The following is a 14,966-nucleotide window of genomic DNA, read 5'->3' as shown; positions in this document are numbered from 1 at the left end:
CAGTGCTATTGGTCAGAGACAGGCACGGGCCTAGGCTGAGCCAGGGATGAGCCCCCCAGACCAGTCCCTCATCCTGGGGGCCAAGGCATGGGCAGTGCTGGAACCAGGGCAAGGCAGGACCCAGGCAGCCTCTCCCTCCATGTGGTTTGAAGAGCCCAGCGGATGGCTGCATCCACCCTGGCCACACCCTCAGCATTGCCCGGGCTCTGTGGGTACAAGTCCTGGGTACCAGTCCAAGGACAGGGACCCCAATCCCACTTCCACAGGCAGCAACCGACACAACTCAGGATCCAGGCCACAGTGCAGTGCAGCTGGGCACTTTCTGTTCTTGGTAGCCTTGGCGATGTGTGGCAGAGGAAGAGGTCAGGCCCAATAGGGACCTTGGGCCCCCTCTGCTTCCGGACAAACTCTGCCCAATCGATCCTTGGAATGCCACTGGGAGCTGAAAGCGGTGCCGGGGTGGACATAAGAAAGGGTCAGCAAAAGGAAGGCAGGCCTCCAGGGCCACAAGCCAAAGGATAGTGCAGTACCTGAGGCTGCAGGGTGGTGGCTTCCAGGACAGTGACCCGGGGCCCACAGCTGGCCCACACGGCATCCTCCAGGCTCAACAGGGTGCGGACAGGCCCGGGCCCCACAGTCAGGCACACGGGAGGGCTCTCCAGGTCCCACAGGACACCTCCTGCAGGGAGAGAGGGGAGGCAGGTCAGGGGCCAGGAGCGGCAAGCAGGTCTCCTGGGAACGCAGGCCAGCAGCAGGGGGCTCAGCAGGGCCCCCCACACCCTCTCCCCGCTCTCCAGGGCCTTTCTCTCTCCATCAGCTGGGTGGTGGCTGTCCCCATCTGCCTCCGACTCCCACCATTCATGTCCCACACCCAGCCACCCCTACTCTCAGATTCGTCCCTTCCTTCCTCCCTCCATTCTCTTTCCCCCTTCCCTTCCCTGCCTCTCTCTCTCTTTCCCTCTCTCCCATTCATTCATTCCGCACACATGCAGTAAGCACCTACTCCACCCATGCCATGCACTGGGTGCTGGGAAGACAGAAAGGAATCAGACACAGGTCTCGCCCTCTAGGAAGCCCCACTGGTCAGAGCAACCAACAGGTTAATCAACAGTTATCACATGACACGCCAAGCACAAATGAGCAGGTGTGCACAAGGGCCTTGAGAACTGCTGAGATGGAAGGAACTAACTCTGCACCAGGGGAAATCCAGGGAGGCTTCTCAGAAGAGGCAGCATGATATGGTGGAAAGTGTCCTGGACCCGGAATCGGGAGACTTGGGGTCTGGCCCTGGTTCTGCTACTACTAACTTGCTAAGGACCTTGAGCACATCTCTACCCTTCACGAGGCCTCAGTTTCCCCATCTGTAAAATGGGGTGGGGAGCTGACAAGATTGTCTCTGAGGACTTTTCTGATGCTGTAGCTTATCTAGACTGAATCTTGATTTCTCATGAATCTTCTGGCCGACTCCAAGGCACTTCTGTCAAATTTACCAAGATCTCTTTCTCTTCCAGAAACACCACTGCTGCCAGGTGAGGTGGAGGGTGGTTTTTTTTTGTTTTTTTTTTTTTCTTTGAGACAGAATCTCACTCTGTCTCCCAGGCTGGATTGCAGTGGCATAGTCTTGGCTCACTGCAACCTCTGCCTCCCCGGGTTCCAGCGATTCTCTTGCCTCAGCCTCCGAAGTAGCTGAGATTATAGGCGCCCGCCACCACACCCAGTTAATTTTTTGTATTTTTAGTAGACACGGGGTTTTGCCATGTTGGCCAGGCTGGTCTTGAACTCCTGACCTCAAGTGATCCACCCACCTCGGCCTCCCAAAGTTCTGGGATTACAGGCATGAGCCACCGTGCCTGATCCAGAGGATGTTCTGAGAGGCAATGAATCCCCAGTCGGCCATCCCTGAAAACCAAACAGACCTAGGAGCCTGGCCCAAGCAAGGTCCTCCCCTCCCCTGGGATGATCAGCGCACCCAAGAACCATTTTCTCCGGCATCCAAGCGGCGCGCGCCAAGATTGTTTCTTCTCAGAAGTCACACCTGATGCCACACAGAACCCCGGTGGCTGCCCTGTCTTGTCAGGGTGCCAGGTGGGAAAGGGGGGTTGAAGAGGAAGCTGGGTCCCAGCCTGGAGCAGCCTGGGCCATGGCATGCTCTGGAGAGACAGGCAGCAGTGGCGGGGGACTAGAAGGCAGGACACAGCTAGCTGTGAGCTTGTCAGAGCCCTGCTACCCCACCTGCCCTCCACTGGGTCCCTGGTAAGAGTACAGAGCAGCCCATCACAGGCAGACCCTTCCCCTCTGAGCCAGCTGCTTGGTGGCACGATGGGGCACAGCTGTCTCCAAAGCCGGAAGGGCCCCAGGGTACGTGATGGAAGCCACTGCTGGGGTGTGGTCACAAGAGCCAAACTAGACTCCCACCCCCTCCCCATCCTTCCCTACCATACCCTGGCCTACCCCATGCTCTGCCAGGCCCAGTTTTCCCTCCCTCCCCACCTCTTTCCCATCTATAAAACAGGTTCCCCTTCTGCCCTTATGCCCTACTTAAAATGGGCAGAATCCAAGCTCCGCAAAGAAGCAGGGGAACAGGGACTCCCCTCGACCTCCAGGCACACAGAGCGCTCTGCCCGGCCAGCCAGCGTGAGCACCAAGGGAAGCAGGCAGAGCAGGGCAGTCCTCGGCCTCAGAACTTCTGTGTGAACTTGGACGGGGGCTTCGCCTCTCTGGACCTCAGTTTCCCTTATCTGCACACTGGGCATGATAACCACGCCTGCCCTTCTCCGGATGTTGCAGGGAGTCAATACAATATGCAAGAATATTTATCTGGGCACACAGTCAGGGTCTTGACAGCGGTTGTTACGCAGCGTTCTGTGTCCGCACACCAGGCCCTCCTTCCTTGAATTATTTCCTTAACTCCCAACAAGCATGTGTGGTAGATACTATTATTATCCCTGTTCATAACGGAGACAACCGAGACACAGCGAGTTTAAATAACTACCCCAATTCACTCAGCTACAGAGGAGTCTGTGTCCGTGGCTCTTACTGTTTGATGCCATTTGCCACAACACAACAGTGTGTGGAAGCAAGTGTTGACTTCACTTAACCAACGTGACAACGGCGACCCATGGAGCTAAGGCCTTGCACAAAGACACCCAAGGGGTGACAGGCCAGACGGGTTTTGAACTCGGCTCTGTCTGACTCTGGGCCTGGCCTGCTTCTCCAACCCCACTGCCCTCTCAGGTTTCTGAAGGCCTCTGCAGCTGGGCCTGGTGTCCAGGAGGGGCGAGTGACCCGAAGGCGGCCAGGGCTCCGCCAGGGATGCTGGTCCACAGCAGGAGGCTGGAGCCAAGAAAATGCAAGGCTTTGAGCGCCCCCCAGTGGCCAGAGGTGAGTAGTGTTCGTGGCTGGAAGCTGGAGTCTAATTAGGCTGCTATGGCTGAGATGGGGGCTGGGACCCCTCCCAGGGAAAAAGCAGCTAGGGATGCTGAGAAAACACCCCCCCAAAACTGGAAAGTGGGGCTCTATCCAACAGTGATAGCCACCGGAGCCCTTGCATCCACTCCCCTGGAACAGAGCCTCGCTGTGGAAGCCTAGGGTAGGAGCTAGGGTCTAAAACCCTAAGGACTGCATGAATGCCATTCCTGCATTTGCTGGGAGTCTCCAGAAATCCTCTAAGAAGTCGACTCCAGGGCAGAATGATGAACTGTGATCAAATTTAATAATGCTAATACTGATAGATCAAAAAACTCATAAAGGCCGGGTACGGTGGCTCACGCCTGTAATCCCAACACTTTGGGAGGCCGGGGCGGCCGGATCACCTGAGGTTGGGAGTTCGAGACCAGCCTAGCCAACATGGTGAAACCCCTTCTCTATTAAAAATACAAAAATTAGCTGGGTGTGGTGGTGTGCGCCTGTAATCCCAGCTACTCGGGAGGCTGAGGCAGGAGAATCACTTGAACCCGGGAGGCCAAGGTTGCAGTGGAGTGCCACTGCACTCCAGCCTGGGTGACAGAGTGAAACTCTGTCTCAGAAAAAAGCTCATAAGGGACACTGGACAGGAGTCCCTGAGTAGAGGGCCCATGGTGGGATCCTGAACAAGAGACTTCCCCTTGCTGGGACTCAGTTTTCCTATCTGCACCATGAGGACAAAACTCTGTCCTCTGAGATTATTTCCAGCTCTCACACACTGTGATTCTGAGATCCTAAACCCAATTGCTGTGAGCTCTGGTGAGAGCCGCCCCTGCCTGATGGGAGCCCCGCCCTTTCCACCCCCTCCTCACCTTACCCTCCAGTGGCTGTGGGAAAGCACGCACATATTCTGGAAAACAGACCCACACGCACAAGCCTGCCCCTGTATGACAGCCCATTCTTCTGGGCCTGGCACCAGCTCTTGTGGCCAGCGCCAGGGAGATGAAGGCCCTGTCTCAGCAAAGGCACCTTCAGGAGGCTGGCATCCCTCCTCCCCCAGCCAGCAGTGGAGAAAGCCCCTGGGTCTCCCTCAGGGGTCGAGATTGGGCTGGAGCCAGAGAGCAGGTCCCAGAGTGAAAGTCATCACGGCTGAGAGGGGCCCAAAGGGCAGCCCCTGCCTGGTGACAGTAAATAGCGACTGTGATGATGATGACTGTGATAAAGGGACACGTGGGAGGTGCCAATCCTCCAGGCTGTGTCGCGGCACTCGTGGGAATTGCCATGTCTACCCTTCACAACCATTCTATGAAGTGGGGCTGTCCACACCCCCATTTCACGGGTGAGGAAACTGAGGATTAGAGGGGCAAAGGAAAGGCCCAAGCTCTCACAGTGAGGACTCAATCCCGGCAGCCTGATGCCCAACCCATCCCTTACCCATTATGCCATCTGCCTCCTCAAGGGGGGACTCCGAACCACAGCCCCAGCGCCCAACCAGGGATAGTCCCGCATCCCCACCCAAGGCGTGGCAATGCCCTTGTGCCTTCTCAGAGGCAGGGGAGAACCCAGGTAGCACGCCAGCAAGGACAGTGGCCGGCTGTCTCAGCTCCGGGCCCCAGCACCCTGCTGCATGCCTGACACCTCAGGGGCACTGGCTTCTTGAGCAAATGAAGGAGTGAATGAATGAATGAGAACAAGCAGATGCTCCTGAGGACAGCAGAGTGACTGCCATGGCCACATTGCTCTTGGCCTCAGTTTCCCTGTCTCTCAGCTGCAGGTGGGACTCTGAGGCCACTCCAGCTCTGCCAGTCCATTCCTCCACGTGGCCTGGTCACCCTGGAGCCTGGACAGTCTACTCTCAGCTGCTGGTTCTGTGGGTTCTGTCCTACAGACCTATATGTGTCTGGTCCTGTCCTTCTCCAATAAGCCAAAGCATGGCCAGGAATGCCAGTTTTAGCAGGAATGCCAGTCTTGGTCTCAGCCTAACCCGGCAGGACAGTGAACATGTCACTTCAAACACCAGCAAATATTTCATGGAGTACCTGCTTCTAGACGAAGATGAGGGGTCTAGATTTTCACAATCCCTGGACCCTCCACACCACCAGGGCCACTATGGTGGGTTCTGAGGTTGATACAGAGCCTGCGAGGTTGATGCGGGTGCAGTTCCAAGCCCTGGCTCTGCTGCTGGGATGGGTGGGGGTATCTGAGGGGTATCTAAGGCCTCAGTGAATCTGGATGAGGGCCAAGCTGATGCCAGTCCCACAGCTGGTCACGGACCAGGTGGATGATTCAAGACCTGGCCGCATGTAATCCAGGTGGAAGGTGATGGGGGTGAATCCTGCCCACCACATACCATGTAGCAGGTCCTGAGAACACAGCTGCCTGCTTGGGCCACCTCTGAAAGATACCACTGGGTACGGGTGGGGAGACCAGGTAAGGCAAGCCCCTTCTCAGGGGCCTCCTTGGCCACAGCCAAACTGGACACCCAGAGAGTAGGTTCACTGGGAGAGCGTGACCACCAAATTCACCTGCCCAGGTGGTGCCTCAGCCTCCCAGCCAGCCAACCTGCCTCCCCTCCTGTCTACCAGCCAGAGGGAACCCAGTGCTTGGCCACCTCTAACATGCCTCTCTACTCCCTGACACACTGAGACAAGTTGGAGCCCTCGCAAACAGCTCTGTCTGCCCCCGGGTCACGCCCAGTGCCACTTCCTCTTCCAGCTGTCCAGCAAAATGGCTTCCTCTCCGGGTTCCCCCACCAAATCAAGCATTCTCCTGCCTCTGGGCCTTTGCGTATACTGTTCCCTCTACCAAGAACACCATTCCCCCAACTCTCCACTTGCCTGGCTTCTTAAGATCTCAGCCCCAGGATCCCCCTCCTCAGGGAGGCCTTTGCAGCACAGCTTGCCCCACACTTGGGCAGTGAGGCTCTCACACAACACTCTTTCCTTTCCGTCGGAGCCCTCGGCATCATGTACAGTCTTATACTTCTGCTTGTTTACTAACCGATTCCCTCTCCCTCTATAGACTGTAAGCTCCATGAGAGCAGGCGGCCTGTCCATTTTGCTCACCACTGTGTCCATGGCATATAGTACGTGCTCAGTAAGCGTTTGGTACACACATGTTTGCAAGGCAGGAAAGCTGGTAGAACATCTCAGCCTTCAGACCCCATGTCCTCCACTCTACCTGGACAAGCCAAAGCCCCCTCACATCTGCAGAGAGCTCAGCCTGGGAGGCAGGGTACTGGGTGCAGGTTCAGCTCAGTCAGGGGGCTCTGGACAGTCTGCTCCCATCCAGAAAATGAGGGCGTGGGGTTCAATGGTCCCAGTGGCTCTTTTGGTCCTGACTAACAGGCTCCAACCCCAGACTAGAAGCCAATGGGTGGACCCCAAACCCCATGTTTTGGGGTAAACTGTGCCTCCTCATCTGTATGTTGAGGTCCCAGCCCCCAGTACCTCAGAATATGACCTCCTTGGGAAGTAAGGTCATTGCAGATGTAATTAGTTAAGATGAGTTCATACTGGAGAGGGACAGGTCCCTAATCCAATATGACTTGTGTCCTCATAAAAAAGTGAAATTTGCACACAGACACACAGCCAGGGAAAACACCATGCAGAGGCTGGAGTTCTGCTGCCACAGGCAAGGAAACACCTGAAGCAGCTGGGAGTAAGGCCCTTCCCTAGTGCCTTCTGAGGGCACATGACCCATCCAAACACGGACCCCAGGCTTCCAGCCTCTAGGATATGCGACGCTACATGTCTGCCATTTGTGGTCCTTGTCAGGGCAGCCTCACCTCCTTCCAACCCAGGTGCCCAAACTGGTGAATCGAGCAGTAAGAGGGAATGGGCCAAAGCCAACCCAAGCTGGGGACCAGAGCGCCAGGGTGGCACAGGCCGGGCTCACAGTGTTCCGTGGGAGCCGGTTGGGAGTGGTCGCTCTAGAACTCCCCATGAGTCTCCGCAGATCTGAGCCCATATTTACATTCACATGCACGCTCTGTCTGACGGTGAGAAGGGTTTTTTCCCTCCCTCTTCCCCCTTTAATTAAAAACTATAAATGCCTTATCAAAAGCTAATTAAAAATACCAACACAGTGCCAAGTGGCAAAAAAAAAAAAATTAGCTCAGTACAAATATCCGTTTATAACCCTGTAACAGGCTGTGATGACGCGGCAATCACAGCCTGGCTGGCGGAAAAGGCAGGGGAGAAGAGACGCTGCGGGCCCTTCAGGCTCCTCTGCCCCTTCCAGGGGACTGGGGGCTGGCTACACTCTCTACTCAGCCCCCTTCATCAAATCGGGGCTGAACAAGCCCAGAGGATGGGGACCACAGCACTCCACATGGCTGGGGAGAAGGTGCGTCTGGTCTCCAGTCAGCATCATCTCAGTAAAGCAAAGGAAATTCTCAAGGGGTGCATGAGAATTAAGATAACACACACGCATTAAGCACTTTACCCCTGCCCTGGAGCACAGCAGTCCAAACACGGTTAGCCCTGCCCTCCTGCCCTCCTGACATCGTAACCTGTGCTAGGGATGGCTCAATAAAACAACCCAGATGGAAATACTTGACTCCACTGAGCCCTTGGCCTGGCCCTGTGCTTTGCCCTCATGGAGTTGTCTAACCCTCCAGGACCCATGAGTGGTGGGCACTGCCCTTATTCTCATGAAGAGTCCCAGGCACCAAAGAAGGGAGGCCACGCAACAAGGGATACAGCTGTCATCGGGCAAAGCCTGAACGGGAAGCCAGGTCTCTCCAACCTGCGAGTACCTCTCTTATCCACTACAGTCTCCTGTCAACAGGTTCCACTGCCCACATGGTAGTGAGCACCCTATTCCAGCAGGTATTCACATATGGGGGACCACCCATTGAACCCCAGCGGGGCTCACGGATCTCCAAATGCCCTCAGCACTGAGATTTCCCAATTCATTCCTGCCCAGCCTCCTGTATCCTCTCTTGGTAGAGAATCTGGCACCCAGCTGGCATCCAGGACTGCCCCCCTTCCCCCATTCCCCCCAGTCCTCACCGCTGGTCCGAGGGTAAGCAGCAAGGGTCCCATCCTGCAGGCCAGCGAGCAGGTGGAAGGGGCTGTGTCGCAGGCAGAGCACAGGCTGCAGACCTGGGCTCCTGCAGCTCACCAGGCACTGGGTGCCAGTGTCCACACTGCTGTAGAGGAGGATGCTGCGGGGAGAGGTTGGAGAAGCGGTCATGACACACTGAGCACTCCCACCCACTCACTGCCCCCATGCCCTCCTAGGGAGAGGGCCCCAGGGAGCTGACCCCTCTCAGCCACGCCTTTCGGCTGTGTGGCCAGGCCATAGCTCCACCATGCGGGAGCTCACTTTTCCATGGTTTTCTGGGACGGTACCCTCCCTGACACCTCTGTCACGAAGAGGACTCAGGGAGGCAAAAGAGCCAGCCATTCTGCCTGGGAGGAGCCAGGCAACTGCACTGCAGGCCGCTCCCGACACTTTGGCTCCCACACTGGGCAGCTCTGGTGCCCACCTTCCTGGAGACCAGGGGCAGAGAATGTTGGTGGGCAACAGGCAGATCCGGAAGGCTACAGGGACAGCCCCCACCCACTGCCCAGCCCTGCAGAGGCTGCTCTCACCCCTCCTTCCGGGCCCCTCACCTGCCATCCTGGAGCCCGAGGCAGATGGTTGGATGCACCGTGGCCGAGGGGTCAGCAACTGTCGGGCTCTCGTCTCTGCTCTCCGCCTCCTCCTCCAGCTCCGGGATATACTCCATGCAGAGCACAGGGGCTGCCAGTGGGAAGGACTTGACGGTGCGGGGCGAGGGCCGGTTCAAGGAAAAGATTTCCACCTGGCCCCCTGCGCCTTCCTGTCCGCCCCCGACCTGGGAGCAGAGACCCAGAGAGGCCATCAGGTGGGAACCACAGGAGGGAGCAGAGGAGGACCTCAGCCCCTGCTTTCCCAAGGACCCCATCCCCTGAGAGAAGCATCCCTTCTCCTGCCCACACACATCCTGCCTTCACAAAGGTCATTTATCCCCAGCTGCCATGGCAACAAATAAGCTTCAGGGCCCACAGGAAATCAGGTAAGGAGCTAAGGTGGACTAAATACTCAGTCAGCTTTCTATTTCCTCCTCTGCAGGGTGCATTTCAACCAATATAAAGTAAACATCTACTCCATCCCTTTAAAATGCCCTTCTCTGTGTTGACCATTGTTTTACCTCTGTGTCTAGCATATGATAGATACATACTCAATATATTCTTGTTGGATGGATGGATGGATAGATGGATGGATGGATGGATGGATGGATGGATGGATGGATGGACAGATGATAGACAGATAGATGGAAGGATGTATCGGTGAATGAATGGATGGGTGGGTGGGTGGATGGATGGACAGATAAATAAATGGATGGATTAAATATATATTCTTGTTGGATGGATAAATGGATAGGTAGGTGGGTGGGTGGATGGATAGATGGATAGGTGGGTGGATAGATGGATGGATGATGGATGGATGGATATACCATGTGCTAGATCATGGGAAATGATGAGGAACAAATCACTCTCAGAAGGGAAGCAGCAATGACAGGGCACAATTTGCAGCACAAGGAACATAGTGGAGGGTACCTCACTTGAATCAAGGGAGGCTTTGCCAGGAAGCCCAAGGATAGAAAGGTGGGCTGGAATGTCTGCATGAGTAGGGCACTAGCCAGCCCTGCCTCCTGACTCCAGGGGTGAAGATCCTGAGACCCAGGTCCTCTGCACAGCTCCCCCTTTCACTTCCTTCTCAGCCCTGTCACCATTTGCAAAAGGCACACTCTCTTTTTAGCTCCCTGGTTTTCTGTTGCCCCAGATGAGGTTGCACCTCCCAACTCCAAATGCAGTGCCTGGCACCAGAGGTGCCCAGGAAGACCTTGGTGGATGAAGCTGCATGAGATGAGGCAGGCAGCTGCTGTCTCCAGCACCCCCTCCCAGGTGCCGCTCTCCCTACTCCTGTCCTGAGGCCAGAATGCCCAGCTGGGCAGGGGGGTGACTCACCCAGAGGTAGCCCTGTGGAAGGGAGGTGCTGACTGCTGAGAAACCCAGCAGGGGACAGTTGACAGGACTGTGGACCAGGGCCCCAAGCTGCAGAGACAGAGACGGTACATGTGAGGTTAATCATCAAGGTGCCCAGATGCCAATATTTGGCAGATTCCTGGGCCCCATCCAACTCTCCCTGGATTAGAATCCCTGTGGGTGGGGGCCAGGAAAGCAACATGCTTCACGAGTGCCTGCTTCTCCAGGCAGTTCCTACACGCTCACATTTGTTCTTCCTTTCCTAGAACCTTCCGGCTAGAAGAGGCCTGCAAGAGGCTCTGTATCAGCCCAGGGTCTCTGAAAGTGAGCAGCTTTCAGATAAGATTTCTTGAAAGCCACCCACCCCTCCTTATTTTACAAACAGGGAAATGAGGGTCACAGAGGGCAGGTGACTACCCTAGACCACAGAGGAGGTGAGTGGCAGGGCTGGGCGGCTTGTGAGGGCCACGCACAGAAACCAGGGCTCAGCCTGTCACCGCTGTCACCAGTAACCACCTTCCGCCTGCTCCCCCCTGAATCAGCTGCCACAGACCCCATGTTGGGTGGCCTCTCTCTGAGGCCTGTCTCCTGAGCTAGACCTGGTCAGTCCCTCTCTCTGGCCAGGACAGCAATTCTAGGAAATGGCCTGGCCCACTCATGGGCCACACTGAAGGAGAAGACAGAGTAGAGACTGCTCTTGGCTGGAAGGAGGATGCAGCCGACCACTGGGCCCTTTTCCAGGCAGCTGCTGCCCTCTGCTGGTGCTAAAGGCCCCAGCCGTCCCTGGACCCATTGTTAGAATATTCTAACAAAATTTCTAATGGCCATGGGCGAGGGCCCTAAGAGGTCACCTCATCCAGCCTCCTCATTGCGCAGATGCCAACTTGAAGGTCAGAGGGAGGCGTGCCTGGCTCAATGTCACACAGCATGTTAGTGGCAGAGTGAGGGCTAGAATTCAAACCTTCAACATCTGGTTCAGGGCTCTTTCTATTCTGGTTGAATTTTACCCCAGAAGCCTGGCTGCACACCAGAGGCCTTGGCACTCTGGGGCCCCAGTTCTGCCTGCTGAAAAAGTGTGTCCTCACATTCAGAGCAGGGGGCTTCGCTAAGCCCGGCCTCTGGGCTCCCTGTCTTCTCTGCTTCCTGGTGGCAGCATCTAGTTGAGGGTGCATGCCCTTTCTGCTGGGCTGATGCTCTCTCTGCTCCCTTGGTGGAGACGAGGCCACGGCAGCCCCTGCTGAGGCATTTCCATGGCAACTCCAGTGGGCCCTGATGTCAGCTGAGTCAACAGAGCCGGGTCGAAGATGGTGGAAAATACTCAAATGGCTCCTCTCCTTCACAGGCAAGGCCCTAGCCCCTAAATGTCTTGCCTGTGCCAGGAAACTGGGAAGTCAAGGCACCCTATGCAGAAGAGAGGAGGGGAGCACGAAGCTGTGAAGGGAAGCAGCTTTAGGTACAGCCAACACGGCTCCAGCCCCAGCTCAGTGGTTACCATCTGGATGGTACTGAACAAATCAGGTCCTCACCTACAGAGCAGAGACCCTGAAATCTCTCAGGATGGCCGTGGGGACTGGAGAGGGAAAGTGTAAAGCACCCGGCCCAGGGCCAGGTACCCAGTACCCTGCAGCTACTAAGGCTTACCAAGGGCCTCTCATGGGATATTCTAGCACTTCACACACCTTAGCTCATTTCATCATCAGAGCAAGGCTATGAGGGCAGAGCCATCAAGGATGAGCAGGAGACAGGGTACACGGCCAACAGCAGTTCTGGCTGAGGTTGGTGAAGGTCAAGACACAGCCCAATGAGCTTGTGAGCTTTGGCCTAAGCAAGCCTGGCCACAGACCCCCTGTGGGTCTGGGCTACACCCCTTAGGCTCCCAAGGTGCTCGAGTTTTAAAGCATCTCAGAGCAGGCAGCACCCCCAGCCCCATCCCCAAGGCCCTGTCCCCAGGTGGGCTCTGAGACTGACCATCAGGGAAATGGGTTTGCGCTGAACCCTCCCTGCCCTCCTGCCACCCCTCCAGAGACAGCATTCCCCCTTGGATGGAGCCAGGGGTCCAAGAAGAACCTTCGACACCGTAGTAGTCAGGCGTTCAGAAATGCCACAGAATAGACTCCGGTGTCCTCACCTTCCTGGGGACCAGGGTGTCCTCAGGTGTTTGCTTCTGTTTCTTGACCCCTGAGCGCACCCCATGCAACTGGCTAAGCACTTGACCCAAATCATATCCTTTAATCCTCAAGGTGACCCAGTCAGGAAGGTGCTGTGACCACCCTAGTTTAAGATACCATGAGCTGAGGCAGCATTCCTGATGTCACACTGTTGGGACTCAATCCAAGGCAGGTGGCCCCTGCTGATGCTCCTTCACACTCCCAACTGATTCCCTTGAGTCAGAAGGCCTTGGTGTGGCCCAGCGTGGGCAGGGGCCACTGTCAGCACAGACAAGAGACCTACTCCTGCCTCCTGCCCCAACACCCCTGATCCCTTGAAGGAAAGAACCCAACACATCCTCATCCACTGGTACAGAGTGCCGACCCTGTCTACACTGTGGCCAGCAACTCCCTCTGCCCAGCCCAAGCCCTCCCTAGACAAATAGTCTGGGCCACTGCTCGCCATGAGGCCAGCCAGAGCTGGAGTCACCCCCTGCCCCAGGACCACCTGGAAACGTGGTGAGCTGGAAGGGGGCCTGGGCAGAGGTTCACACAGTCACATCTGCTTCTGCAGTAATTGGACAGGGCCTTGGTACTCCCAGGCCCTATTTCATCAGGCTGCCAGCACACAGCTGATGGGGCACATTTGTCTGGACTGGTGGTGGGGTGGGGTAGGGTGTGGGCAGAGGGGGACAGCGATTTGAGGCCTAGCTAGTGCAGCCAGGCAGGCTCTGCTCTGGCTTCTGGGAGCTCCACAGGCCCCTTACCACAGAGAGTCACTCGCCTCCCTCCACTAGCCCTGGCGCTCCTAAGGAGACAGTGAGCCGGGGCCAGCAGGACTGAGGATGCTTCTGGCCTACATATTCCTGGGCCCTGAGAGCTCGCACTGAGGAGGTTCGTGGGCCCTGGTTCCCCAGGTTCGAGGTGGCAGAGGCTCCCCACCTGGATGGGGGTTTCTTTTGGGGAGGCCTTGGAGGCAGTGGCCAGTTCTGTGACTCCACCACTGGGGTCTGATCTGTCAGGGCTCAGCCTGCATCCTGTGCTCTCAAGAGACCCAAGGCCCTGGGGGAGACAGGAGAATCCAACGCCCACCATAAAGTCACCCAGGGCCAGCCTTCTGCAGGGATGCGCTAAGGCCAAGCTGGCCGCAGGCACAGTGGGCCCTGATACTCCCTACTCCATGGTCGCTGCCTCCAGCCCAAGGCCCCAGGGCCCACAGGTAACCCCCCATCTGGCATACGCCATCTATCACCAGTTAAGCCTGTCCCACCCCAACACATCCCCAATGTGTCCACCTCCCTTGCCGACGGCCTCCACCAGGGCCAGGACTAGGGTGATAGACTGGGGCACCTAGCTTGGGTACAAAATTTAAAAGGGCACCAAAAACTCAGTCACAAAAATGTATATATATAGAGAGAGAGTAAGGCAACTTTAAAAAAATCAATATTAATGCAAAAAATCCACACTGAATAGTTATTTAAAAGTTTAAATACAGACAAAACTTCACCCTACACTTGCACGACCCTGGCTCACTTGCCTCACCCTAATCCTGGCCCTTTATGTATCAAGAGACAAAAAGAGCGGCCAAACCACAAGGAAAAATTTGCTGATTTGATTATATTTACGCACTGCATTAAAATAGTATTTATCTTAATTATTGAGATTTTTGACATCGGCTGAAATTTTGTGCCTGAGGCAAAGGCGCCTTACTCCAGTCACAGCCCTGGCCTCCGCCCACATCAAGTCTTGCCACGTCTCAGCAGGACCCTGAGCTGAGCTCTGAGCTGCTCCCTCCAGGTCCATTTTTTTTTTTTTTTTTTTTTTTGAGACAGGGTCTTACTCTGTCACCCAGGCTGGAATGCAGTGGCATGATTTCGGCTCACTGCAACCTCCGCTTCCCGGGTTCAAGTGTTTTTTCCACCTCAGCCTCTCCAGTAGCTAGGACTACAGGTGTGCACCATCAAGCTCAGCTAATTTTTGTATTTTTGGTAGAGACAGGGTTTCACCATGTTGGCCAGGCTGGTCTCAAACTCCTGACCTCAAGTGATCCACCTGCCTTGGCCTCCCAAAATCCTGGGATTACAGACGTGAGCTACCTCACCCAGCCGACATCCAGTCCTTTTGTATTATTTACTTATTTATTTGAGACAGGGTCTCACTCTGTCCCCTAGGCTGGAGTGCAGTGGTACAATCACAGCTCACTGCAGCCTCAACCTCCTGGGCTCAAGCGATCCTCCCACCTCAGCCTCCCAAGTAGCTGGGACTATAGGCTCATGGCACACCTGGCTAATTTTTTTTTATTTTTATTTTGTAGAGATGGGGATCTTACTATGTTGCCCAGGCTGGTCTCGAACTCCTGGACTCAAGTGACCCTCCCACCTCAGCCTCCCAAAGTGCT

General features: G+C 55.8%; 1 protein-coding gene across 36 annotated transcripts in view; it reads right to left on the bottom strand.

Annotated features, from left to right (window-relative positions):
• Positions 1–14,966, bottom strand: part of ARHGEF10L (Rho guanine nucleotide exchange factor 10 like) — a 184,441-nt gene that overhangs the window by 32,750 nt on the left and 136,725 nt on the right. For 35 of the 36 annotated variants that reach the window (NR_137287.2, NR_137288.2, XR_946686.4 and 32 more), the window contains 4 exons: positions 10,404–10,490; positions 9,024–9,247; positions 8,418–8,572; positions 531–679 (listed from right to left, as the gene is read on the bottom strand). Coding sequence is in view for 33 of the 36 variants with exons in the window: in XM_024448061.2 (XP_024303829.1) it covers positions 531–679; positions 8,418–8,572; positions 9,024–9,247; positions 10,404–10,490 (615 nt within the window). In the remaining 3 variants the exon portion in view is untranslated. Of the gene's footprint in view, positions 1–530; positions 680–8,417; positions 8,573–9,023; positions 9,248–10,403; positions 10,491–14,966 lie in introns of those variants that run through there. The other variant, XM_047424158.1, reaches the window with a different exon arrangement.

Source organism: Homo sapiens, chromosome 1 (assembly GCF_000001405.40).
Source record: "Homo sapiens chromosome 1, GRCh38.p14 Primary Assembly".
Classification (NCBI taxonomy): Eukaryota; Metazoa; Chordata; class Mammalia; order Primates; family Hominidae; genus Homo; species Homo sapiens.
The sequence above is the reverse complement of the archived record's forward strand: the minus strand, read 5'-3'. Positions and strand labels throughout refer to the sequence as shown.